Genomic DNA, 27,682 nt, shown 5'->3' on the forward strand with positions numbered 1-27,682 from the left:
GGGAATGCAAACCTTGAAAGAAGGGAAGCAAACTAGACGAGCTCTACATTTAACCAGCTTTTCTAGGGCACCTCTTGGCTTGCCATGGAGTATTGGAGAAAAGAGCTTGAATACCAAGTATCATTCTTACTGGGATGAAGAAACAGAGGTCAAAGTACAAGACTACCAAAGCAGCTCTAAGTTGAGGGAGAAAATCTCAGAAAGAAGCATGCCACAGAAGAGGGAGCCCCAAGTTCTCTTTGCAGTTTTCCAAATTGTGTACAGACAGACAGTGCTTCCAGAAAGCAGCATCAGGTACTAAAGAACTAAGCAGAGATTTCAGCAGCTGCCTGGTGCTGAGTTTTGAATGTAAATGTTGCTATGTTACAGGGATTGATAAATACCTCAAATTTTGTGTTGAAACTGCAGAAGAGCTATGGTTGAGGACTAAGGGATTTCCCAGGACTAAGGGCAAAAGCACAGTAAATCCTAACAAAGCCAGAGCCCAAACTATCATAGGATCAGTAGGAGGAAGAAGGAAAGTGTAAACTATAATCAAGAGAAAAAGCATCAGTAGAAGCAGACCTATGAATGACCCAGATGCTGGAATTGGCAGTTAAGGACTTTAAAATAGAAATTACAAATATGTTAAAGTATTTCGTGGAAAAGATTAACAGAATGATTGAACACATGGGGAAACGTCAGCACAGAAATAGAATCTCTGAAGTAAAACCAAGTGTAAATTGCAGAGCTAAAAAACATATCTAAAGTGAAAATTTTATTAGATGTCAACAGCATTTTTAACACTGAAAAAAATTAGTAAATTTGAATATAGTTCAATAGAAATGATAATTGTAACTGAAGCACAGAGGCAAAAATAATTGAAGAAAGTACAAAAACTCTTGGTGACCTGTGAAACAATATCTAGAAGTCTATCATATATACAAATTATAGCTATATCTATATTTTATAGATATATATTAATGTATAAATTAGATATTTATAAATTATAGATATATAATGTACATATATCTATAATTTATATATTATATAATTATATTTATAATTTATATATGGATATAATGTACATATATCTATAATTTTTATATATGATAAACATAAATATAATATACAACATATATAGAATATATATATAATTGGATTTCTGGAACATAAGGAGCAAGAGAATGGGAGCTGGGGACATTGGACCTAATAATATCTGAAATTTTCCCAAATTTCATAGCAAACATCAACCCATAGAGTCAAAAACTCAGCAGACCTCTAGCAGAATAAATATAAAGAAAACCATACCCAAACACATAATAGTCGTAGTCAAACTGTTGAAACCAAAGATGATGAAGAAATCTTACAAGGAGCCAAAGACAACAATAAGAATGATGGCTGATTTCTCATTTAAAAAAAAAAAGAGGCCAGAAGACAATAAGCTGGCATTTAAAATGCTAAAAAGTAAGTTAATATGGTGCACGTATTGTATGTGACATTCCTTGCCAAGACCAGCTAAGTCATGGAGACCCTAACCCAGTGGCACTAGAGGAATTAGACACACACACAGAAATATAGCGTGTGGAGTTGGAAATCAGGGGTCTCACAGCCTTCAGAGCTGAGATCCTCAAACAGAGATTTACCCACATATTTACTGACAGCAAGCCAGTGATAAGTATTGTTTCTATAGATTATAGATTAGCTAAAAGCATTTCCTACGGGAAATAACTAAAAGCATTTCCTACAGGAAATAAAGGGATGGGCTGAAATAAAGGGATGGGTCTGGCTCCTTACTTGCAGCAGGAACATGTCCTTAAGACACAGATCACTCATGCTATTGTTTGGGGTTTAAGAACACCTTAAGCGTTTTCCACCCTGGGTAGGCCAGATGTTCCTTGCCCTCATTCTGGTAAATCCACAACCTTCCAGTGTGGGCGTCATGGCCATCATGAGCATGTCACAGTGCTGCAGAGATTTCGTTTATGGCCAGTTTGGGGGCCAGTTTATGGCCAGATTTGGGGGGCCTCTTCCCAACATGTCCTCCTTCTTTGTTTTGCAAAGTGATAAAAGCAAAGGCAGCTTTGCATGGTGAGCTACTTCTCTTAAGAGTCAGGATCCACATCTGCAGACTATACAAAGACAACACAGATTAAAAGCACAAACATCATTGAAATCACAGACCTTCCAAGTGTTTTTATCCATTTTAATGGGTTACTAGCTGCTAATTTGTCTGCAGCTCCTTCAAGCACTCCAGTTCCTGGCATTAAGGTCAGGTGTGTCTGGGATACTTTAAATATTTGTTCTTTAATTTTGCAATAGCCGAAGACAAGTTTGTAGAGTGTCCTTCTAGATGCTTTTTTATTCTTTCCTAAATTTTGATCTTATTAAGAGCTATTCATAGTTTCCACAAATCCTTATGTTTAGCTCCTACAACGGGCCATATCATTTGAGGTTGAGGTGCCACTATACCGCCATGGTTCCAGATAATAGGAACTCTTACCGTACTTCTTACCATTTCTACCATCTGACCATTTTGTTCAGACCAGCTGAACACAGTGTGGCCATGGCACACAGACAGATGTGCAATTTAAGCTAAACATCCCCTTAGGGGACCAGTCAATAATGATTCCATGGGAATCGTTGTGCAGCACCTCTGCCTTTTCTGCAATGCAATCTTCCCAAACAAGTACATTCATTTTTTCTAACTGGGACCAGTCCTGTTTACAAATAGGTTTTTGAGGGCAGTATCTCTCACTTATAGGAATAGCTTTATTATGGTAAATCCTGAGATCAGAAAGCATGTGTAACTGTGTCATAGAGTGATTACATACAGGCATTATTGCCAGCCAAAATGGATAAATATGCCCAATAAGTATAATTGTTCTCTGTGTCAGCCCTTGTTGAAGGAATACTCACGGCAATGGTAATCACCACTATCATAGCTACCATTAAGTTACTCATTGTGACTGGTTGTCTTGCTTTCCTCAGGTTTTCTTCCACCATCTGTGACAGCTTCTTGATCTGTCCCTAAGTAGGTGGCTGTGTTCGACGGGTGTTGCTCATGACAGTTGGGGTCCTCCTCAGCATCAGTCTCGACATGGCTGCAACCAGGGGGTCCTCAGGTTCCTCCCAGAGTCTCTTCCTCGGCATCTGGCTCATGATAAGGTTTCAGGTGTCTTGATGGTATCCAAATCGGCTGTTGATTCGGTCCTGGAGAAACGCAAGCATAACCTTTATCCCAAGTTATTATTTTACCTATTTGCCAAGTTTTTGCTATCAGATCTCTCCACCAAACCAGTTATTCTGCTTCTGTCTTTGCAGCTGGTTTCTGTAGATGCTGTTCAGCTGCTGATAGCATCTGGCCTTTAGACAGGCTCAAAAAATTTAAAGTTAGTAATGCTAGATTCAGTTGCATATGAGGTGTCCCATAGTCCCTGTTTCTCCCCCCTTTTTTGTTTTTGTAACTGCTGTTTTAGGGAGAGATTCATTCTTTCCACTATGGTTTGTCCTTGAAAATTACATGGGATGCCAGTAATGTGTTTAATATTCCATGTAGAGAAAAATGTAGCTAGAGCTTGGCTAGTATAGCCTGGGGCATTATCTGTTTTAATAGAAGCTGGAATGCCCATCACCGCAAAACACTGGAAAAGGTGATCTTTAACACAGGCAGAAGACTCTCCTGATTGGCATGTAGCCCAGACAAAGTGAGAAAAGGTGTCCACACATACATGTACATAAGCTAGTCTCCCAAACGAGGGAACATGTATGACATCCATTAGCCAAAGAGAATTAGGTTCCAGTCCTCGAGGATTAACTCCTCTTTTACTGTAAAAGATGAGGAATGCACCATTTGGCAAGTTGGGCATCGCTGGATAATAGCTTTAGCTTGTTTCCAGGTAATGCTGTATCTGCGTTTGAGACCAGAGGCGTTAACATGGGTTAAATTGTGAAAGTGTCTAGCATTAGATACTAGGTGATCAGCCATTTGATTCCCTGCAGTTAATGGTCCTGGAAGAAAGAGGTGTATGAGCCCTAATGTGAGTGATATAAAAAGGGTGCATTCTAATTCTAACTGCTGTTTGCAATTGGGTAAATAAAGTCATCAGTTGTTCATCTATATGAAATCGTAACTGAGCATTTTCAATTAACTGTGTGGAATGAACCACGTATGAAGAATCAGAAATCACATTAACAGGCATATCAAAAGCAGTCAATACCTCAATTACAGCTACAAGCTCCACCTTTTGAGGTGAAGTATAGGGTGTCTGAAAAACTTTACCTGTTGATCCAGAATAAGAAGCTTTACCATTACTAGACCCATCTGTAAAAACATTCTCAGCACCTTCAATTGGTTTAAATGTAGTTATTTTAGGGAGAATCCAATTAGTTAATTTCAAAAATTGAAAGTTTTGTTTTAGGAAAAGAGTTATCGAGAATACCCACAAAGTCAGCTAAATGGGTTTGCCAAGTAAGACCATTTATAAAAGCTTGCTGTATTTCTGCTTTCCTGAGAGGGACAGTAATTTTTCCAGGATCATATCCATGTAATTTAACAATCCGAGTTCTCCCATTTCCTATCATAGTAGCAATTTGATCCAAATAAGGAGTTAGTCCGTGAATTAGTATGTGGAAGAAAAAGCCATTCCACTAAGTCCTGCTCTTGGGCAATAACACCAGTGGGTGAATGCTGAGTTGGAAAAATTAGCAAATCTAGAGTCTTCTCTGGATCTATTCTATTTATTTGAGCTTTATGGTCTTGCTTTTTGATTAGCTGCAGCTCTGCCTCAGCGTCTTTTGTTAGTTGCCGAGGGCTAGTGAGACTAGGATCTCCTCTAAGGATAGAAAATAGATTACTCATGGCGTAGGTAGGAATGCCTAGAGCAGGTCATATCCAATTAATGTCCCCTAGTAATTTTTGAAAGCCATCTAATGTTTTCAGTTGATCCCTACGTATCGTTACTTTCTGTGGCACAATGTAGTGTCATTTACTAAGGCCCCTAAGTAGGATTAAGGAATAGTAGTCTGAATTCTGTCAGAAGCTATAGTTAAACCAGTGTGAGAAATCGAATTTTGCAAGTGATCATAACATTGGAGTAATATTTCTCGAATGGGGCAGCACAAAGTATATATCCATATAATGAATAATGTAACACTGTGAAAATTTTTTACGAGTGGGTTCAATTGCTTGTCCTACATACGTCTGGCAAATTGTTGGACTGTTTAACATGCCTTGTAGCAACACTTTCCAATGAAAACGCTTAGCAGGCTGCAGGTTGTTTACTGCAGGAATTGTAAATGCAAACTGTTCACAGTCCTGCTCAGCTAAGAGGATAGTAAAGAAATAGTCTTTTAAATCTATGACTATTAAAGGCCAATTTTTCAGAATCATAGCGGGAGAAGGCAATCCTGGCTGTAATGTCCCCATTGGTTGTATGACTGAATTAATGGCTCTTAAATCAGTTAACATTCTCCATTTCCCTGATTTTTTCTTAATTACAAAAACTGGAGAATTCCAAGGGGAAAATGTTGGAGCTATGTGTCCGTTTTCTAATTGTTCAGTAACTAATTTCTCTAAAGCCTCCAGTTTCTCTTTCTTAGCGGCCATTGTTCTATCCAAATTGGCTTATCTGTTAACCATTTTAAAGGTGTAGGTTCTGGAGGCTTAACAATGGCCACCATCAGAAATGATATCCTAAACTTTGGTAGGAACTTCGTCTTTCTGCTTGAAGCGGTTCCTTCAAACCTTGTAAATTTTTTCCTAGTCTCATACCAAGGACATACCCCATTTCATGCATCATATGTTGCCTTTGAGGGCTATATAATTGTTCTGGAATTAGAACTTGTGCTCCCCATTGTTGTAATAAATCTCTTCCCTATAAACTTATAGGTACAGAAGTTATAATTGGTTGAATAGTCCAGGTTGTCCATCGGGCCCTTCACAATGCAAAATATAACTACTTTGATAATACTTCAGGGGCTTTACCAACTCCAGCTATGTTAAATTGAGCAGGTTGAATTGGCCACGTGGACGGCCAGTGCTATAGAGAAATGATTGAAATGTCTGCTCCTGTATCTACCAAACCCTTAAATTTCTTTCCCTGAATAGTTATTTCACAGGTAGGATGTTTATCAGTAATCTGATTTACCCAATAAGCTGCTTTGTCTTGTTTATTTGTGCTTCCAAATCCTCCTGTTCGTTTAATTTCACCTTTCCCCATTTCCACATACGGCACAATCAGGAGCTGTGCCATACACTGTCCTGGCTCTGCTTTCCAGGGAACAGAAGTAGATGTAACAATTTGAATTTCCTCATTGTAATCTGAATCAATGACTCCTGTATGTGTTTGCACTCCTTTTAAATTTAAACTAGACCTTCCTAAAAGTAATCCTATCGTCCCCGCTGGCAAGGGTCCACAGAGCCCTGTTGGGACCTTTTGCGGGGGTTCCCAGGCAGAAGGCTCACAGCTTTTGTGCAGCGTAAATCTACTGTGGCACTACCGGCTGTGGCGGGGGACAGACATTGTACGGGGGTGAGGGAATGGCCTGAGCCGGAAAGGTCCCGGTTTGGAATGGGGCCCAGGACGGCCCTTCATGACGTTTCCCGAAATCAGGTTCCCATCTTTATCAAACTTAGAGTGACACTGATTAGCCCAGTGTTTTCCTTTTTTACATTTTGGACATATTTCAGGCTCAGCAGTTTTCATTTTTTCCCTCAACTGGTGGCCTGACTTGCTGATTTTTTCTACATTCTTTTTTAGTATGACCATGCTTCCCACAGTTAAAACAAGCTCCAGGAAATGGAGTATTTCCTTTATCCACTCTCAGTCCTGCCATTGCCTGTGCTAGCAGAGTAGCCTTATGCAGATTACCTCCAATACCGTCACAGGCCTTGATAGAATCAACTAAATGTGCTTTCCCTTTAACAGGTCGCAGAGCAGCCTGGCAATCGGGATTAGCATTGTCAAAAGCTAATAACTGCAACACTATTTCCTGAGCAGCCGGATCTGCAATCACCTTTTTAAGAGACTCCTGTAACCGAGCCATAAAATCTGCATACGGTTCTTTCAGTCCCTGCTTTACAGCACTAAAGGAAGGATATTGTTCTGCACCTGAAGTGATTTTTTCCCAAGCCCTAATTCACACTACTCTAAGCTGCTCTGTGGCATCATCCTGCATGACCACTTGGGCATCTAAACCAGCCCAGCTGCCAACCCCCAAAAGTTGGTCTGCAGTTACATTAATTTGCGGTTGGGCCTGGGCGTTGCAAGCAGCCTGAATGGAAGTTTCATCTGCCCACCAAGTTTTAAATTGTAAGAACTGAGCAGGAGTTAGACAAGCTCGAATAAGAGCGTCCCAGTCAGTAGGAATCATCTGACTGGAAACAGCAACCTTCTTTAACAGTCCCATTACAAGAGGAGAACCTGGTCCATATTGATTAATAGCTTGTTTAAATTCTTTGAGTAATTTAAAAGGAAACGGCTCAAATGTAGCTATAATATTTCCCTGTTAATCTGGGGGGTGTATTCTAACAGGGAACTGCCAAGCCTCTAAATCACCTTCTCTTCTAGCTTGCTGAATTCCTGCCTGAATAGAACTGAGAGTGGTCGCTCGAGGCGCTGCTCGAACAGTCACTGGGGCAACTACTTTTTGCCCATATGTCCTCTGGAAAAGAAAGATCTGGAGGATCAAGCCACTCTTTTTCTTCAAAATAATGAGGGGGTGTAGAAGGGTACGGATGAACCTTATCCTCCTTTGCTGCTTTAGCTTTAGCTGGCAAACAGACCTGCTCTGTTACCTCTTCTGTTACTTCGTTGTACTCTCCTTCCTCCTCATCATTAGAGTGAAAAGGTTCCAAGGTGGAACAAACCAGAGCCCACACTTGTCCCATTGTTACCCTGATGCTCCCAAGCTCCCCTTCTTACTCACCATGGGGATTGCTTAAGAGTACTCAGTGTCCTCCAGCTTAGTTCCACGTTCTCCAACCATCACTCCGGCGACCCTTCAACCCAGGTTTGAGCCCCCATGTTTGAGCACCACTTGCCGAGACCAGCTCGGTCAGGGAGACCCTAACCCAGCGGCACTAGAGGAATTAAAGACACACACACACACACACACAGAAATACAGTGTGTGGAGTGGAAAATCAGGAGTCTCAGCCTTCAGAGCTGAGAGCCTCTAACAGAGATTTACCTACATATTTATTGACAGCAAGCCAGTGATAAGCATTGTTTCTATAAATTATAGATTAACTAAAAGCATTTCTTACAGGAAATAAAGGGATGGGCCGAAATAAAGGGATGGGTCTGGCTAGTTATCTGCAACAGGAACATGTCCTTAAGGCACAGATCGCTCATGCTATTGTTTGGGGTTTAAGAACACCTTAAGTGGTTTTCCACCCTGGGTGGGCCAGGTGTTCCTTGCCCTCATTCTGGTAAACCCACAACCTTCCAGCGTGGGCGTCATGGCCATCACGAGCATGTCACAATGCTGTAGAGATTTTGTTTATGGCCAATTTTGGGGCCAGTTTGTGGCCAGATTTGGGTACCTGTTCCCAACAATTCCTGGTATGGACTAGTCTTTATTTCATAATTAAATGCTTTTGAGAGATAAGTGAAGACTATAAATAGCGTCACTTTGGTTCAGGCCAGGTTTTGCTGCCAGATGACTTTTGGTGTGAAAAATATTTTTTAAACAATCCTTTGGTTTCAGAGCTTTTTGGATTTCAGAATTATAGGAAAGGGAGTTGTGGCCCATCTTACTTACCTGAAGAAAAAGTAGTAATATGTATTTTTAAATGGTTACACGCTTTTAAGCAGGGACTTACAAGAATCTGTCCATCTGTCCAACAGAAATTATCAAGTTTGTGTGCCAAATATTATATATGAGGATACAACATCTTAAAAAATAATTTTTAAAAATTGAAAATAACCTAAATGTCCCAATAGCCCACAGTTGATTAAATTAGTTATGGTATGTCTAGGCAGTGAATGAACTGCTTTGTAGCCATGAAAAATCATATCATAGAAGAATATTGATATGTCGAAGTAAACATTCATAATGTGCAACATAGAAAGATCACAAAGCAGTGATTCCAAATTTTAATAGCAGTTGTTGCTGTGTGATTGGATTGTGCTTTTTATTTGCTTTGTTTGAGCTGTTATATTTCTTAAATTTCTGTCACTGAACATGTATTTCTTTTGTAATCAGTAAAATTAAGGCTTTTTTTTTTTTTTTGCATTTAAAAAGGCCTCACTCTGTTGCCTAGACTGGAGTACAGTGTTGTGATCATAGTTCACTGCATCCTGGACCTCCCGGGCTCAAGCAGTCCTCCCACCTCACCCTCCCAAGTAACTGAGACCTCAGGTGCACACCAGCACTCCAGGCTAATTTTTAAATTTTTTGTGGAAATGGGGTTTCGCCATGTTACCCAGACTGGTCTCAAATTCCTAGGCTCAAGCCAACCTCCTTTTGGCCTCCCAAATTGCTGGTATTACAGGTATAAGATACCATTCCTAGCCCTATTTTAACAACAACAACAAAAGCCAGCTGTGGTGGCTCACGCCTGTAATTCCAACATTTTGGGAGGCCAAGGTGGGTGGATTATCTGAGGTCAGGAGTTCGACACCAGCTGACCAACATGGTGAAACCCCGTCTCTACTAAAAATACAAAAATTAGCCGGGCATGGTGGGGTGCACCTGTAATCCCAGCTATTTGGGAGGCTGAAGCAGGAGAATCACTTGAACCCAGGAGTTGGAGGTTGCAGTGAGCTGAGATCGTGCCATTGCACTCCAGCTGGGGCAACCAGAGCAAGACTCCATCTCAAAAAAAACCAAAAAACAAGATGATAAAGAAGATATTCATATTGCTTTTAAACTTCAGCTCAGATTGCTTCATTAAGTCAGGAATCATTTTATTAACAAAGATCACAAAAAGTTCAACATTATTAAGGCCCTAGCTTCGTATATCATCCGTATCCCCAGATCTAGTGTCTGCATACCTGGATTTAAAATGTCTCTTTTAAGCTTCATTGCCTGGGGCATTTCCAGAAGGAATCCTGTTAAATGAAAAAATAAGGCCTTTCATGAGGGATGCTGGACCACTTCCATTGCCACTTCAAACATATTCTGACTTAATCTCTAGAGAACAGGCTTCTCATATAAATTGTCCACCACCACATCTAGTTCTTGGCTTGTTTTTAAAAGTCTGCAGATTCTTTCATGAGGTCACTTTTTTAAGCTTAAATATCTACTTTGCTTTGAAAATCTGTTTTCTCCCTTTTCAAAAAGAGCATACCAGAAGTTAAAATTGGATCATTTTTAGCAAGCTACATCATACATCTGGAGTGAATTCCAGCGTATTAATGTCATGGTATGTTACAGCAAAGACTGTCAAGTCTAATTTTTGCAGATCTGCTCAATCTGAAAGGACAGTCTGGACAGCTAGCAGTTTTGATTGTTGAGCTGAGATGTGTTTTCTAAAGTTATTCTTAAAATCAGAGAGGTTAAACAAAACCTGCAACGTGGTCCTACTTGAATAGCGATGGCGACAGTGATAGGAAATAGTATATTTCCTATAGTATATATCATCTGTACTGTAGTCTCTTATAATTAGGCAGAGTTGAAAGAGGCTTGAGATCTTGTAACTGTTTACCAGCACCTCATTCTAGTCAGATAGTATCGAGTATCCATTGAACTACTTATAGTAATAATTATATTTTGCCCTTGATATGGTTTGGCCATGTCCCCACACAAATCTCATCTTGAATTGTAGTTCCCATAATCTCCATGTGTCGGGAAAGGGACCTGGTGGGAGGTAATTGAATCATGGGGGCGGTTACCCTTATGCTGTTCTTGTGATAGTGAGTGAGCTCTCATGAGATCTGATGGTTTTATAAGGGGCTTTTCCCCTTTTGCTTGGCACTTCTCTCTCCTGCTGCCTTGTAAAGAAGGACGTATTTGCTTCCCCTTCACCATGATTTTAAGTTTCCTGAAGCCTTCCCAGCCATGTGGAACTGAGTCAATTAAACCTCTTTCCTATAAATTGCCCAGTCACAGGAATTTCTTAATAGCAGCATGAGAATGGACTAACCCCTGTAAATTAATAAATAGATATTCTGGTCTCTGTATATTTAATGTTTTTGCTAGAATTCACTGCTGAAACCCTGTCGGCTAGGAATTTTCATTGCAGAAGGATGTTTGATAACAAACTGAATTTATTTAATAGATATAAGGCTATTCATATTTTCTGTTTTGGGTCCATTTTTGTAAGTTCTGTTTTTAATGAATGTATCCTTTCATTCCTTTTCATTTAATTTGTCAAGCTTATTGGCATAAAATTATTCACAAAAGGTTCTTATCATCTTTTAAATACCTGTAAATGATGTTGCATGTTGTAATATATCCTCTTTCATTGCTGATACTGGTAATTTATAGTCTCCTTTTCTTGATCAAGCTCCATAGCAGATTATCAATTTTATTTATCTTTTCAAAGAGAACCAATGTTGACTCTGATAATTATCTTGGTTGTTTATTTTTATTTTTATTTCATTGATTTTTGCTGCTTATTATTTACTTCTTTCCTACTTAGTTTGGTTTTACTTTGATCTCTTTCTAGTTCCCTAAATTGGAAATTTGGATCCTTTATTTTAAACCTTTCTTATTTTCCAATATAACATATGGGCTGTAAATTCTTTAACCACTGTTTTAGTTATATACTTCAAATTTCTTTAAATGCTTTATTGAGGTATAATAACTGATATAAACTGGACATACATAAAGTGTACAAATTTGACATATGTATACACTCATGAATCTGTCACCACAATCAAGATAATGACTCTACCCATCACCACCAAAAATTTACTTAATCCCTCTCTCCTGTTCCCTGGCAACCACTGATTATCTTTACAAATTAATTAAACAGTAGATTAGTTTGGATTTTCTCGAATTTTAGATTAATGAAACTATAAAATAGATATACTTTTTTTTATCTGACTTCTTTCACTCAGCATAGTTATTTGCATGATTGCATCATGTATTTTTAAGCTATTAGGTACATAGATGTTTAGCATTGTTGTGTCTTCCTAATGAATTGACCCCTTTATTATTATGGGATGACCCTTTTTGGACCTGATAGTAGTCTTTGCTCTAAAATCTAGTGCTATTGGCTGGACGCAGCTCATGCCTGTAATCCCAACACTCTGGGAGGCCAAGACGGGCAGTCATCTGAGGTCAGGTGATCTCTACTAAATACAAAAAATTAGCCAGGCATGGTGGCGCATACCTGTAATCCCAGCTAATTGGGAGGCTGAGGCAGGAGAATCACTGAACCTGGGAGGCGGAGGTTGCAATGAGCCAAGATCGTGCCATTGCACTCCAGCCTGAGCAACAGAAGCGAAACTCTGTCTCAAAAAATAAATAAATAATTAAAAAAAAAATGTAGTGCTATCATGGCATATTGTCGCCATCCTTTTCCTTTTAACCTATTTGAGCCTTCATATTTAGATGGTGTTTCTTGTAGGCAGCATGTAGTCAGGTCTTTTTCATTTATCTAATCTAAAATCTCTGTATTTCAGCTCTTCAAATATTTAAATATATTTCTGTACTATTATCTTTTCTTCCTTGGACTAAACATCCTCTTATTATGGTTTGGCTGATACTTTTTCTAAATCCTTCACAATTATCAAACTCTTCTGTGCATGCTTTGCTTCAAAGGGATATTACATCACAGTAGAGATTTTGAGTTGCCTTCTGCAAGAAATGCTGATCATTGTTTATTACTTCATTTGCTTAACATCATCACCAAAGATCTATTATCTATTTAATCCCTCACCATTTGGTTAAAACCAATCTAGACCCACTTTTCTTACCCAAATCATATTTTTTTCTTGGTTCACTACTGATTTTTTGATCTCCAGAAAAATTTCAAGGGGACTTAACACAAAATCTATTAATCTATTAATTTCCTCTGGAAATGTCTGTTTTATCTTAGTTATACCAATTCTAGTTGAATTATTTTGAATGTGGGTCAGACAAAACTAGACTATAACTGAAAGGGTATTAAAATGTTTGCCTTTTTTTTCCAGGTAAAAATGTCTCCATCGTATCATCAGTCCAAAGGGGATCCCACTGCTAAAAAGGTGAGTTTGTTTTAAAGGCAAAAAACCAGTTCTTCCTTCTGTATGTTTATTCTCCTATGTGGAACAATATTCTCAACATGGCAATGATTTTTAATCATCTTAATGCTGTCAAGGGTTATTTCTGATTAGATGCTTTAATGACATGTCTCCAGGCCTCCTCTTTGGCTTCTCCAGAGAAACCAAGTTGGGTTTCGACATCAGTCTCCTAGCAACTATCAGTTTCTAGAATGTCCATCTTCCAGGCATGGTATCGTGGTATCAATGAGTGGTAGTAGGTGAAAGATATTCACAGGAAAGCTATATAGTTTATCTTAATAATGTGCTTTACTTCGACTGGGTGCAGAGGCTCATGCCTGTAATCCCAGCACTTTGGGAGGCTGAGGTGGATGGATCATCTGAGGTCAGGAGTTCAAGACCAGCCTGGCCAACATGATGAAACCCTGTCTCTACTAAAAATAGAAAATTAGCTCGGCGTGGTGGTGCATGCCTGTAATCCCAGCTACTCAGGAGGCTGAGGCAGGAGAATTGCTTGAACCCGGGAGGCGGAGGTTGCAGTGAGTCAAGATCGAGCCACTGCACTCCAGCCTGGGCAACAAGAGTGAAACTCCATCTCAAAAAAAGAAAAAGAAAAAGAAAAAATGTGCTTTACTTCTAGAGAGCTGTGCCTAAAAAAACTGGCCTGAGATAGTAACAGCACATAAGAAGGTCTTCAATAAATGCTGGCAGAAGAGAGCTCTCATGTGTGCTACTTCAGTTCCTGACTGTAAGCTTTGTGACCACAGATAGGGTATGACTGACGGTTTTACACCTTATCTGAGTGATGCATAGATGATGTCAAGAGAACCACTAAAATCCTTTTCCTTTATCCAGCTGTAAAAGTGCAGTTGAAACATGGTAAACAAATTGACATTTTTGCTTGTTTCTTTCATCATTTTTCTTTCTCTAATAGTCGAAGTGTTTCTTTCCCTTGCCCTTTTTTGCCATTTCAGCCAGCATCCATATCAGTGAAGGACTGTAGAACAAAAATAACCACCTGCTGGCTCTGTTGACTAACAGGAGGTTTTAGCTTCAAAGCAATGTTCCAAAAATGGGTCCCCCTCCTCTGACTTCAGAATCCCCTGAGACTTTTTCAGAAGAGAAGAGAATAAAAACAAAATATGTTGTCTGAAAAGACCTATAACATACTGCACATAAAAATCTCTTTCACTCTTGTCAAGGCAGTAGGGGCAGGCGAGACTGAGGCAATGACTGTTGATACTTAGAACCATCACACTGTAACGCAAAGAGCTGGGGGAGCCTGTCATTTTAGTCTCACTCAGTAAGTAGACGAGGAAATGGAAATCCAGAGGGATTCCAATTTTTTGTCTTAGCTCTCCAATGTTAGCTATGGAACACACTTCTAACATAGTGATGTCAAGCGTGTGCCTTGGATACCACCAGACTTGGGTTCGAAGATTTACTCTTCTGCTTATTTATCTGAGTGACCTTGTGTAAATTGGCCCCTCTGTTTCGTCTTATGTAAAATGGTGATGCTACTCTCAGAATTGTCCTGAAGATTAAATGAAATAGTCTACTGCTTAAGAGTATAATACTATGTTTGACATATAGTAAGTACTCAAGCTGTTGTTGACACTAGTATTAAAATGCAGGTCTCCCAGCTCCTAATCAGATGTCCTCTTACTTTATCATGCTGCTTGTATAATATTGTTCATTCAGCAAGTATAGTCTGCCCTTCACATTTGTGGGTTCTGCATCTGTGGATTCAACCAACCACAGATTGAAGATATATGGGGGAAAAATGATAAAAAAAATAATGATACAACAATAAAAAACAGTACAACTATTTACATTGTATTGGGTATTATAAGTAATCTAAAGATGATTTAAAATACATGGGAGGATGTGCACTGGTTATATGCAAATACCATGCATTTTAAAGGACTTGAGCATCCATGGATTTTGGCATCCACAGGAGGTCCTAGAGTAAATTCCCCACAGATATCGAGGGATGGCTGTATTTCTTTTTTTTTTTTTTTTTTTGAGATGGAGTTTCCCTCTGTTGCCCAGGCTGGAGTGCAGTCACATGATCTCAGCTCACTGTAACCTCTGCCTCCCGTGTTCAAGCGATTCTCCTGCCTCAGCCTCCTGAGTAGCTGGGATCACAGGGACGCACCACCACACCCAGCCAGTTTTTGTATTTTTAGTAGAGACAGGGTTTCACCATGTTGGTCAGCTGGTCTCGAACTCCTGACCTCATGATCCATCCGCCTTGGCCTCCCAAAGTGCTGGGATTACAGGCATGAGCCACTGTCTTTTTTTTTTTTTTTTTTTTTTTTTGAGACAGAGTCTCACTCTGTCGCCCAGGCTGGAGTGCAGTGGCACAATCTTGGCTCACTGCAACCTCCGCCTCCTGGGTTCAAGCGATTCTCTTGCCTTAGTCTCCTGAGTACCTGGGACTGCAGGTGCCCACCAGCACACCTGGCTAATTTTTTTGTATTTCCAGTAGAGACAGGATTTCACCATGTTGGCCATGATGGTCTCAATCTCCTGACTTCGTGATCCACCCAACTCAGCCTCCCAAAGTGCTGGGATTACAGGCGTGAGCCACCACGCCCAGCCAGCTATATTTCCTTACACTATTTACTGAGATAAACAGTGGACTAGAGAAAAGAAATACAATCCTGTTCTCAAAGACCTCAGCATTTATTGAGAAAAGTAGACGGGTAAACTGATAGTTACCGAACACCTTGACACATACCATGGAAGGTGCACAGGGTTCTGTGAAGGCGCCAAGGAAAGGCCCTATTTTGAGATGACTAAGCTAACTTAGTGCAGTTTTTATGTTCTTTTTTTTTTTTTTTTTTTTTTTTTGAGACGGAGTCTCGCTCTGTCGCCCAGGCTAGAGTGCAGCGGCACGATCTCGGCTCACTGCAAGCTTCGCCTCCCGGGTTCACGCCATTCTCCTGCCTCAGCCTCCCAAGTAGCTGGGACTACAGGTGCCCGCCACCACGCCCGGCTAATTTTTTGTATTTTTAGTAGAGACGGGGTTTCACTGTGTTAGCCAGGATGGTCTCGATCTCCTGACCTCGTGATCCGCCTGTCTCAGCCTCCCAAAGTGCTGGGATTACAGGCGTGAGCCACCGCACCCGGCTCTTACGTTCTTTATGGCAGAAACCTCCATGAAGAACTTTGAGGAATCGTTAGCTGCTCCCCTACAACACTGTTATCAGAGTGAGAGCAAATTTTGCCATGTATATAGGCATTTATTAAATAAATACTCATTTAGAAATAGGTTCTGCAACCTATTTTTCAAACTGAGTAATGTCCCAGCTCTTTGTCATTTTAGGTGTCTGACATCTGTCAGGGATGTGACATTACAGAAGCAGGGTTTTGTTACTCTTAGAATCGGCATCAGGCAAACAGAAGCTTCCTAAGCCAATGACTGGACACAAGTGGCCCGGGCAGCATTCCTTTGTGATCAGATGCAGACTTATTCCTGGTTTATGCAAAACTTGGGACTATCTCTAAAATATTTTATTCAATATACATATCTCAAATGCCTTTTACTTTATCAATGAGAGTCCATTTCCAATATTCACCATGGCGGTTAACAAGTCATTTCTTTCACCAATAAAAATATTTCCATTTTTTAGCTAATGAGGCAAGTCTTAGTGTTGGTGAACATCTGAATAGCTGAAGAGCTTTTTTTAGTGGCTGTCTTGCGGAGTTCGTGTTAGCTGGACTCTCCTGAAATATAGATTCTTAATTTGGGCCATTGACCATCCCTGAGTTGAAGCCCAAAACTACATAGCACATACTTATTATCATGCTGTTTATGTCGTCTCTAGTTACTTGAAAACATGTATCACAGTGGGTCAGTGGGCGGCCATCCCAGATTAGGGGTCAGGAAAGGCTTCCCAGCGAAGATAAAGCTTGACCTAGCCTTAAGAAACAAGGGAAATGGTAACCTAGGCAGATAGAAGTGAGTAACACATTGTCAGAAATGGGAATGGTTCTGCATGTCTTCAGTATAATGTGAAAGCATGGAGAAGTCTGGTAAAAGATAAACAGGGGTTCAGACCACAAAGAGCCCCAGTCTGTGAAGTTTGCTTTCTATCTTGAGGATAAGGTTTCCAGCAAAGGTAAGACTGAAAGCAGAAAGACCAATTGGAAGAGTAAGACACTTGTCCAGGTAAGAAAAAAGATCCTAACCCTAGGCTGTGTTAATGGAGTAAAGAGATTAAATAGATTCAAATATTAGCTATTTTTTCTCTCAGAAAACCCTGACACCCTCCTTAAGTCTGAGTAAGTGTCCTTCCTTCCCTGAGCTCACAGCGCTCTGAATTAGTCCCTACCAATACCTGGGTGGGTTGAGATTGCCTCTCTACTTAATGCTCATCTCCCATTAGACGATATGCCTCATGAGGGCAGAGCAGTAACCTCATCAGTCTTGTTTACAGTTGTATCCGTAAGTGTAGAACAAAGTAGTCACTCGGTCGTTGTTGAATGAATGAGAGATGCACGAAAGAGATTTCACAGGACTTCCTGGTGGTTTATGAGAAGTGAGGGGGAAAAGAAATTTCTGGCTCTGATGACTAGAGGAAAAATAAATGAAACATCATTGCTGTTTCAGGCTTGTCTCCCAGGCATGGTCAGTTCCTTATTGAATCACCAGTACTCCGAGTGAGATTTACCTGAAGATCAATGTGAAACTCAACACCTAATTATTACTTCCTTAGTTGGGTATATATTTTTGTGTGGATATGCTTGTATGCTCATGTACATCTATGTATATATTCTGGTTCTTATCCTTGAGCTACAGTCTCTCTTCCCAAAGTTGCATTGACAGATGGAAGCAGCAGTAGTGTCTGTTGAACAGAGTGACTGCCAAAGTGACATGTGTAGGAAACACAAAGGAAGCAGCAGTGTTCTTCATTTAGCCAAAAAGTCTCTGTTGACCGATAACTGAAGGAAGTGTTTGGTGACTCTGCTGTCAATATTGGCCCTGCCAAGAGCTGGATTCAAGTGCTAAGGAAACCAGAGTCATGTTCTGTAGGACTCAGCTAACTTCCTGGGGCTTCTTTTTAGGTATTTCATGTAGGAGTCACTCTTTAGAATGTCACTGTTCCACTCTGCCGCTGCATGTCAGAGTGTGCATCACATTCCACAACATGTATCTTTTTTTTTTTTTTTGAGACGGAGTCTCACTCTGTTGCCCGGCTTGGAGTGCAGTGGTGTGATCTCAGTTCACTGCAACCTCCGCCTCCCAGGTTCAAGCAGTTCTGCTGCTGCAGCCTCCCAAGTAGCTGGGACAAGCACACACCACCACACCCAGCTAATTTTTTTGTATTTTTAGGAGAGAAGGGGTTTCACCATGTTGGCCAGGCTGGTCTCAAACTCCTGACCTCAAGCGATCCTCCCACCTCAGCTTCCCAGAGTGCTGGGATTACAGGCGTGAGCTACCACGCCCTGCCCACAACACGTATCTTTTTACTAGCATTTTGCATTATAGATATTCTTTACAAAAGCTTTAAATTGGCAATATTTATTGTATATAAAATTGGTATGTATTTACTTTATTTAAAATTTCTTCTTAGTGGGCTCTAATTGATAATTTCAGTAACGAAGTTGGAAGATACACATGGTTCCCTAGGACCTTTACAGTGTTTGATCATGTATGACCAGAAATGTAAAAATCAGGAGTCATTGCCTTCAGATAAAAATCGACATAAAACCCATTGCAATGAACTCCCCAGGATAGATCCAAATGCAGGTGTTGACAACGTTTAAGGTACATCAGGAGAGTTAGTTGGGGGCAGCATCAGACACCACTCAGCTATGATGCATCTCTTCTTGACTACCAAAGAAACACCAACCAAGAATGTTCACAGAAAAGTTGGGTCTGTTACATTTATGATAACTAGAGAAAGCATTTTGTCTTGTGTCTTGATCTCAGGTACATGGTTACCTCTCTGAGCAACCCCTGGTTTTAGATCCGCTTTCTCTGCTGGTGTGTTTGCAGAAGCTGAGGGGCCAGGTGCTCTGGCTGAAGACTATCCTCAGGCTGGTGGTGCCACTGGAAGGTCCACAGCTGTTCTCCTCAAAGTAACTTCTTCCAGTTAGGGACAATGCACAGGGAATGAGAGAGTGGAAAGCCTTTCCAATAGTTCTGTGAGTCCATTCAGTAAATATTCCGCAAGCCTGTTAGGTGCCAGGGTTCAGAGGGACAAAGGACAGTGAAGAAATACAGTTCCTTCTCTCAGCACATTTACATGTTAATGGTGACTGAACTGGTGGATATCATAGCCAAGCCTCTCAGAAGTTGATTTTCAGTTTGTTAAGTATTCAGGTACGTTATAAGAATTTGGAGCTGATTTTTGGAGTTTTTTAAGAGACGATGTCTCACTGTGTTGCCAAGGCTGGAGTGCAGTGGCACAATCATAGCTTACTGCAGCCTCAGACTCCTGGGCTCAAGCGATTCTCCCACCTCAGCCTCCTGAGTAATTGGGATTATAGGCATGAGCCACCATGCCTGGCTGATTTTTTTTTTTGGTCATTGTTCCAGGTGTTCTTATGAAGTAAGGTTTTTATAACCAATTCTCAGTCTTGCTGCTCATGTCAGCAATATAGACAGCTATACTTGCTCATAATTTTTGTTGAATTACAGGTTGGCGTTTTTTTTTTTTTTTTTTTTTTTTTTTTAAGGGAAAAAGCCTCACAAAGCCACTGTTTCCATAACAACCAGAAAAGCTGGCCCCAGTGTCTCAGCTCGCTGGCCCTAAGAATGGCTGGTTGATAGTTTCACAAAAGTCAAGGGAAATGAAGAAAGCACTGAGATAGATGCAGCATTTTCTAGCCATCATTTGATGGAAGCTTAAATAAAATAAAGATACATTCACCTTTTGATGCCTCACCCTTAACTCTTTCCTGCAAAGATGCGAGTTCTCATAAACAACAAAATGATAGCCCTTGATCGATATAGATGCTTCTTTCTCTAGAGTATTTGTCTTAATAGGACTCCAAATATGACTTCATTGCCTCTACTGAACACCACCCCCAAAAAAGGAAACAGAGAACATGATTTGGTCTTTGTTTTTGCATCGGCAGAGTTGAAAACCTCAGCAAGACAGATGCCTTTTTATGGATGTGAAGAAGCTGGAGTCTAGTTGCCTTTAGACACCTGGAGGGCAATGATCTGGAGGACACTAACTGGAAGAAAGCATAGGCATCCTTAATTGTTGAGAGGACAGAACTGGTACCTGTGGGTAGCTACTATGTGAATGGAGATGTCAGCTTGGTATGAGAATTTCATAATGGTAGAACAAGGTATCTTGAGTGACACTACATTACCTACTACTAGAGGTGTTTGGTCGGTGACAGAATATCTATTGGTCAAACTCCTGCCTTTGGTCAGAGTTTGGACTAGTTGATTTTTAGATCCCTTGAAGCATTAAAATCTTATGAGTCTATAATTGTATTAAAAACAAGTTGCAGCCGGGCTCGATGGCTGACGCCTGTAATCCCAGCACTTTGGGAAGCCGAGACGGGCAGATCACTTGAGGTCAGGAGTTCGAGACCAGCCTGACCAACATGATGAAACCCTATCTCTACTAAAAATACAAAAATTAGCCAGGCGTGATGGTGGGCACCTGTAATCCAGTCTACTTGGGAGGCTGAGGCAGGAGAATTGCTTGAACCCGGGAGGCGGAGGTTGCAGTGAGCTGAGATTGCGCCATTGCACTCTAGCCTGGACAACAGAGCGAGATTTTGTCTTAAAAAAAAAACAAACAAGTTGCATGTTCACTGATGTAGTGAATGATTTTAGTTAAAACTAACTAAACAGCCTAAACTAATAGAATGTGTTGTCTTTCAAAGAAAAATCTGAATTTATGTAAAGAGAGACTTGATTCAGAAGAATCATTGCAATAGAGGTGAGAGGGCTATTGCAGTAAGGGGAACGCTCCAACCATAAGATCTGCAAGGGTCTCAGAGATCACACAGAAAGGAAATTTATTTCATAAGATGGGGTGGGTAAACAAAGCTAGAAAGAACCAGGTATGAAGGAGTGGGTGGAGGGAATGGACAGTTGATCAGAGATGCTTTTCCTTGTGGTCAGCCGATTCTCAGAAGCAACCCTTAAAGGAGAGATTCTGTACTCTGGGTCAGGCTGAGAATAGGTCAGAGTTCAGGGTCTTGGGGAAAGGAAAGAAGCTTAACCAAAATTTGGTTATCAGTTAATAAGCAGTTTGATTTTGTTAATAATTTTTGTAATTAATAGCCTTTTTTTTTTTCTTGAGACAAAGTCTCGCTCTGTCGCCCAGGCTGGAGTGCAGTGGCGCAATCTCGGCTTACTGCAAGCTCCGCCTCCCGGGTTCATGGCATTCTCCTGCCTCAGCCTCCCGAGTAGTTGGGACTACAGGTGTCCGCCACCAAGCCCAGCTAATTTTTTTTGTATTTTTAGTAGAGACGGGGTTTCACCGAGTTAGCCAGGATGATCTCAATCTCCTGACCTCGTGATCCGCCTGCCTGGGCCTCCCAAAGTGCTGGGATTACAGGCGTGAGCCACCCCGCCCGGCCCCTTTATTTTTTAAGAGTACCGTAGTTTTAGGTTTACAGAAAAGTGGAGCAGTAAGCACAGAGTTCCCATATGTTTGCTTTCCCTCCCCACCCCCACAGTTGCCCCTATTATTAACATCTTGCATCTATGGGATACACTTGTTCTAATTGATGAGGCAATATTAATACATTATTAACTAAAGTCCATGGTTTACATTAGGGTTCACTCTTTCTGTTGTATATTCTGTGAGTTCTGATAAATGTATAATGAAATGTATCCACCATTACACCGTCATACAGAATAGCTTCACTGCCCTCCAAATCCCTGTGCTCCACCTATTTATCCTGCCTTCTCCCCAAACTTTCGGTAACTACTAATCTTTTTACTATATCCATAGTTTTGCCTTTTCTAGAATGGCATGTAATCGCATAGTATATAGGCTTTCTAACTTGGCGTCTTTCACTTAGCAGTCAGCATTTAGGGTTCCTTGGTGTCTGCATGGCTTAATAGCTCTTTTCTTTTTATCATTGAGTGATATTCTCTTGTCTGCTTGGACTATAATTTGTTTATCCATTCACCTACTGCGGGACATCCTAGTTGCTTCTATGTTTTGACAATCGTGACTAAAGCTGCAGTAAATAGCCATGTGTAGGATTTTGCATGGGCATCTCAACTCATTTGTGTAAATACCTAGGACCATGATTGCTGGATTATATGGTAAGACTATCTTTACATTTTTTAAATTGCCAAACTATCTGCCAAAGTGGCTGTGCCATTTTACATTCCCAGCAGCAATGAATGAGAGTTCCTATTGCTCCACATCCTCACCAGCATTTGGTGTTGTGGTGGTGTCAGTGTTTTGAATTTTAGCCATTCTAATAGGTATGTAATGGTATCTCATTTTCTTAAATTCACAATTCCCTGATGATATAGGATGTTGAGTGTCTTTTGACTCATATGCTTATTTTCCATTTGTATATCTTTTTTCAAATTTCATTTTAGATACAGGGTGTTTATGTGCAGATTTGTTACATGGGAATATTGAGTGATGCTGAGGTTTAGTGTGTGAATCCTGTCACCCAGGTAGTGAGCATAGTACCCCCCACCCTCTAGTATTCCACAGTGTCTGTTGTTCCCGTATTTATCTCCATGTGTGCTCGATGTTTAGCTCTCACTTATAAGTGAGAACATGTGGTATTTTGTTTTCTGTTCCTGTGTAATTTGCTTAGGATTATGGCCACTAGCTCATCTGTGTTACTGCAAAGGATGTGATTTCTTTTTTATAGCTGTGTAGTAGTCCATGTGTACCAGATTTTCTTTATACAGTCTACCATTGATGGACATTTGGGTTGATTACACGTCCTTGCTATTGTGAGTAATAGCCATCCTGATGATGTGAGATGGTATTTCATTGTGGTTTTGATTTGCATTTCTCTGATGATTAGTGATGCTGAGCATTTTTTCATATGTTTATTGGCCACTTTTATGTCTTCTTTTGAGAAATGTCTGTTCATGACCTTTGCTCATTTTTTAATTCTGTTATTTGGTTTTTGCTTATTGTTTTAACTCCCTATAGAGTCTGGATATTAGGTCTTTGTTGGATGCATAGTTTGAGAATATCTCCTCCTGTTCTGTAGATTGTCTGTTTGCTTCGTTGATAGTTTTGTTGTTGTTGTTGTTGTTGTTGTTGTTGTTGTTCTGTGTGTATTGTTGCTTTTGTTTTTGTTTTTGCTTTTGCTTTTTTTTGCTGTGCAGATGCTCTTTAGTTTAATTAGGTCCCACTTGTTTATTTTTGCATTTGTTGCAATTGCTTTTGGAGACTTAGCAAAAAAATATTTGCCAAGGGTCAATGAATGAAACCAAGACTTGATTCTTTGGAAAAGTAAACTAGATTGATAAACCACTAGCTAGGTTAACAAAGAAAAAACAGAAGCTCCAAATAAATACAATCAGAAATGACAAAGATGACACCACAACCGATCCCACAGAAATAGAAAAGACTTTCCGAACATCAGGAACAACTCTATACACACAAATTAGAAATTCTAGAGGAAATGGATAAATTCCTGGAAACATACACAATCTCCTAAGATTGAATCCAGAATAGATTGTAACTCTGCATAAACCAATATCAAGCTCTAAAATGAATCAGTAATAAAAAAACCCACCAACCAAAAAAAGTACTAGACCAGATGGAGTCACAGCCAAATTCTATCGAATTATACTTCTTTCTACCAAAAGAAGAACTGATATCAATCCTACTGAAAGTATTCCAAAATATTGAGGAAGGACTCCTCCTCAACTCATTCCATGAAGCCAGCATCAACCTAATACCAAAATCTGGCAGAGACACGATGTAGAAAGAAAACTTCAGGCCAATATCCCTGATAAACATAGATGCAAAAATCCTCAACAAAATACCAGCAAACCGAATCCACCAGTACATCAAAAAGTTAACTCACCACAATCAGCTGGGCATTATTCCTGGTATACAAGATTGGTTCAATATATGCAAATGAATAAATGTGATTCAGCACATAAACAGAATCAAAAGCAAAAACAATATGATCATCTCTATATTTGCAGAAAAGTCTTTCAATGAAATCCAACATCCCTTCATGATAAAAACCCTCAACAGACTAGGCATCAAAGGAACATACCTCAAAATAATAAGAGCCATCTTTGACAAATGCACAGCTAACATCATACTGAACAGCCAAAAGCTCGAACCATTCCCTTTGAAAACTGGAACAAGACAAGGATGTCCACTCTCACCACTCCTATTCAACACTGTATTGGAAGTCCTAGCCAGAGCAGTCAGGCAAGAGAAAGAAATAAAAGGCATCCAAATAGGAAACAAAGTAGTCAAACTATCTTTCTTCATTGATAATATGATTCTATACCTAGAATATCCTAAAGACTCTGCCAGAGGCTCCTAGAACTGATAAATGACTTTAATACAGTTTCAGGATACAAAGTCAATGTACAAAAATCAGTAGCATTTCTATACACCAGCAGTGTTCAGGCTGAGAATGAAATCAAGAACAGATCCTCACTTTCTATAGCCATAAAACAAAACAAAACAAAATGAAATACCTAGGAAGATAGTTAACCAAGATATCTTCTACAAGGAGAACTGCAAAACATTGCTGAAAGAAATCGGAGATGACACAAATACATGGAAAAACAGTCCATGCTCATGGATTGGAAGAATCAAGATTGTAAAGATGGCCATGCTGCCCAAAGCAATTTACAGTCAGTGCTATTCCTATCAAACTACCGACATAATTCTTTACAGAATTAGAAAAAAACTATTCTAAAATTCATGTAGAACAAAAAAAGACCATGAATAGCCACAGCAATGCTAAGCAGAAAGAGCAAAGCTGGAGGCATCACATACCTGACTTCAAACTATACTATAAAGCCACAGTAACCAAAACAGCTTGGTACTGTTACAAAACAGACACATAGATCAATGGCACAGAATAGAAAACTCAGAAATAAAGCCTCAAACCTACAACCACCTGATCTTTGACAAGGCCAACAAAAACAAGCAATGGGGAAAGGACTCCCTATTTAATAAATGGTGCTGTATATCTTTTTGATGAAGTCTTTAATGATTAACAGTTTTTCAGTTTTTTTTTTTAGTGGTGGCCTAGGATTTACCATATGCATCCTAGATTTTCATATTCAGCTTTTGATTTAAAGTAGCTTAATACCATTTATATATATACTCCTATATAGTTTTATTCCCTTCCCCCACTTTTGTGGTATTGCACATACCACAAAATATATTTAGTACCTCTAGTAATATATAGTGCATATATAGTTATATTGTTATATATAGTGCATCTAGTAATGTTACAGATGCAACAATAGGTTGTTGTAATTTTTACTTTACCATCTGTAGTCATTTCCTTAGCTTAGTAAAAGCTTTGTTTTCACCCACCTCCTTTGTGCAAATATGTTACACATATATTACATTTCTACATATTATAAGCCCAACATTTTATTATACACATTTTATATGACTGCTTTTTAAAATAAGTTATTAAAAGAAAAAAGCAAATATGCATTTATACTGTATTTTATAATTTCTTACTTATCTTTTGCAGTTCCTTTTTTTTTTTTTAACATGGATTTAAATTACCCTCCATAGTCAGTTGCTTTCATGCCAAAGAAATTGCATTAGTAGTTCTTATAAGTCAGGTCTGCCTATCAACAAATTCTCTCAGTTTTTGTTTATCTGGGAAAGTTTTTATGTCACCTTCATTTTTGAAAGCTAGCTTTGCTGGATATAGAAATCTTAGTGGGCAGTTTTTTCTTCAAACATTTTGAATATGTGGCCTCCATTGTTTCTGCTGTTAGTTTTATTGGGGTTCTTTGTAAATTACTAGTCATTTTTCTCTTGCTGTTTTCAAGTTTTTCACATTGTTACTGACTTTTGGCATTACATTGTTATGTACTTTCAGATATATTATTATGATGTATCTGTTTGTGGATCTCTTTGTTTTCATCCTACTTAGAATTTGTTAAGCTTCCTGAATGTGTAGGTTATTGTTTTTCAATGAACGTAGGACATTTTTAGCCATAATGTATTAAAATATTTTCACTCTCCTTTCTCTCCTCTTCTGGTCTTCTCTTTGTGCATATATTGGGCTGATGATAACTCCACATTTCTCTGAGACTGTGTTCACTTTTCTTCATTCTTTTTTCTCTCTGTTGTTCAGCTTGCATGATCTCTATTGAACTGTCTTTAAGTCACCAATTCTTCTGCTGGCTCAAATCTCCTGTTAAGCCTGTCTTGTGAATTTGTTTCAGTTGTAGTTTTCAACTCCAGAATTTTCAATCATTCTTTTTTATAATTTGTATCTCTTTATTGATACTGTCTCTATTTGATGTTATATTGTCATCATACCTTCCTTTACTTTGTAAACCATGCTTTCCTTTAGTTCTGTGAGGATATTTACAGTGACTATTTTGAAATCTTTTTCTGTTAAATCTGACATCTGTTTACTCTTCCAGGAAGTTTGTTTCCTGCTTTTTTCCCTGGGGTTTGATCATACTTTCCTATTTCTTTGCATGCCTCATAACTTTTTAATGGAAACTGGACATTTTAGAAAAATATATTGTATACCCTATGTACTGGTCCCCCTACCCCCAGGGCTTGTTATTGGTGACTGGCTAGATGAATTTAGTAAAGTCTATTTTTCTCCACAATATTAAGCTTCTGATATTGTTTCTCAAGTAGGCGTAGCCTTGGGTATGTCTGCAGTCACCCTGGAATGACAGTGGTATTGGCTGGGCTCTGGTTTTGTTGTTGTTTGTTTGTTTTTCTCTGACCATACCACACTGTTAAGCTCTACAAATTGCCTGATGATTGCTCTATTGTTTCCACTAACGCCTTAGGACATAAATTGTTTATAAACTAATCCAGTCAAATTGCAGTTTCTTTTAAGTAATAGTTTCTGGGAGCTAGTTTTGATATTTCTTCTGACCTCACAAGGTCTCCTGCAGTTGTCTTTTTCCTCAGTTATCTTCTGCAAAGTAGCCAGCCTGTAGTCTAGGTTGTATTTTCATTAAATCCACAAGTCTCTTCCCAGTTGCATTTCACCACTAACTCCACTGTTCTTAAGAACACACTTAGGATTGAAATTCTCTATATTCAGTTGCAAGTGAAGTCAGTTCCTCTGGGAAAAGATTAGGAGTTATTTATTTTAGAACCTACTTCTTTCCCAAGGAAAAATCTCTGAGCTGGGGCTCTGGAGCTGAGGATAGGGACAATGGCAGGCTTTTCTCTGAATGTCATCCCCCAGTCTAGTTGTTGAATGCTGTTGGAAGCACGGAGGGGCAGCAGCCTCAGGTGAGAGCCTAAGCAGCCCCCTGGACTGCCTCTCCTGGACTCATAATCCAGGGCAAGGGTGATCAGAGACCGAAGATTTTCAGTGCACAGCCTCCAGGGTAGAGCTTCCATTCCATGAGTAGAGGCTTCCAGAAGAAGGGAAC

At 39.6% G+C, this 27,682-nt stretch overlaps 1 protein-coding gene across 21 annotated transcripts in view; it reads left to right on the forward strand.

Annotated features, from left to right (window-relative positions):
* The window catches only part of VPS8 (VPS8 subunit of CORVET complex), a 240,449-nt gene that overhangs the window by 199,105 nt on the left and 13,662 nt on the right, over nucleotides 1-27,682 (forward strand). For all 21 annotated transcript variants that reach the window (NR_146113.2, XM_047447824.1, XM_024453426.2 and 18 more), the window contains one exon: nucleotides 13,066-13,119. Coding sequence is in view for 20 of the 21 variants with exons in the window: in XM_047447824.1 (XP_047303780.1) it covers nucleotides 13,066-13,119 (54 nt within the window). In the remaining variant the exon portion in view is untranslated. The remainder of the gene's footprint in view (nucleotides 1-13,065; nucleotides 13,120-27,682) is intronic.

The sequence above is a fragment of the Homo sapiens genome, chromosome 3, assembly GCF_000001405.40.
Source record: "Homo sapiens chromosome 3, GRCh38.p14 Primary Assembly".
Lineage (NCBI taxonomy): Eukaryota > Metazoa > Chordata > Mammalia > Primates > Hominidae > Homo > Homo sapiens.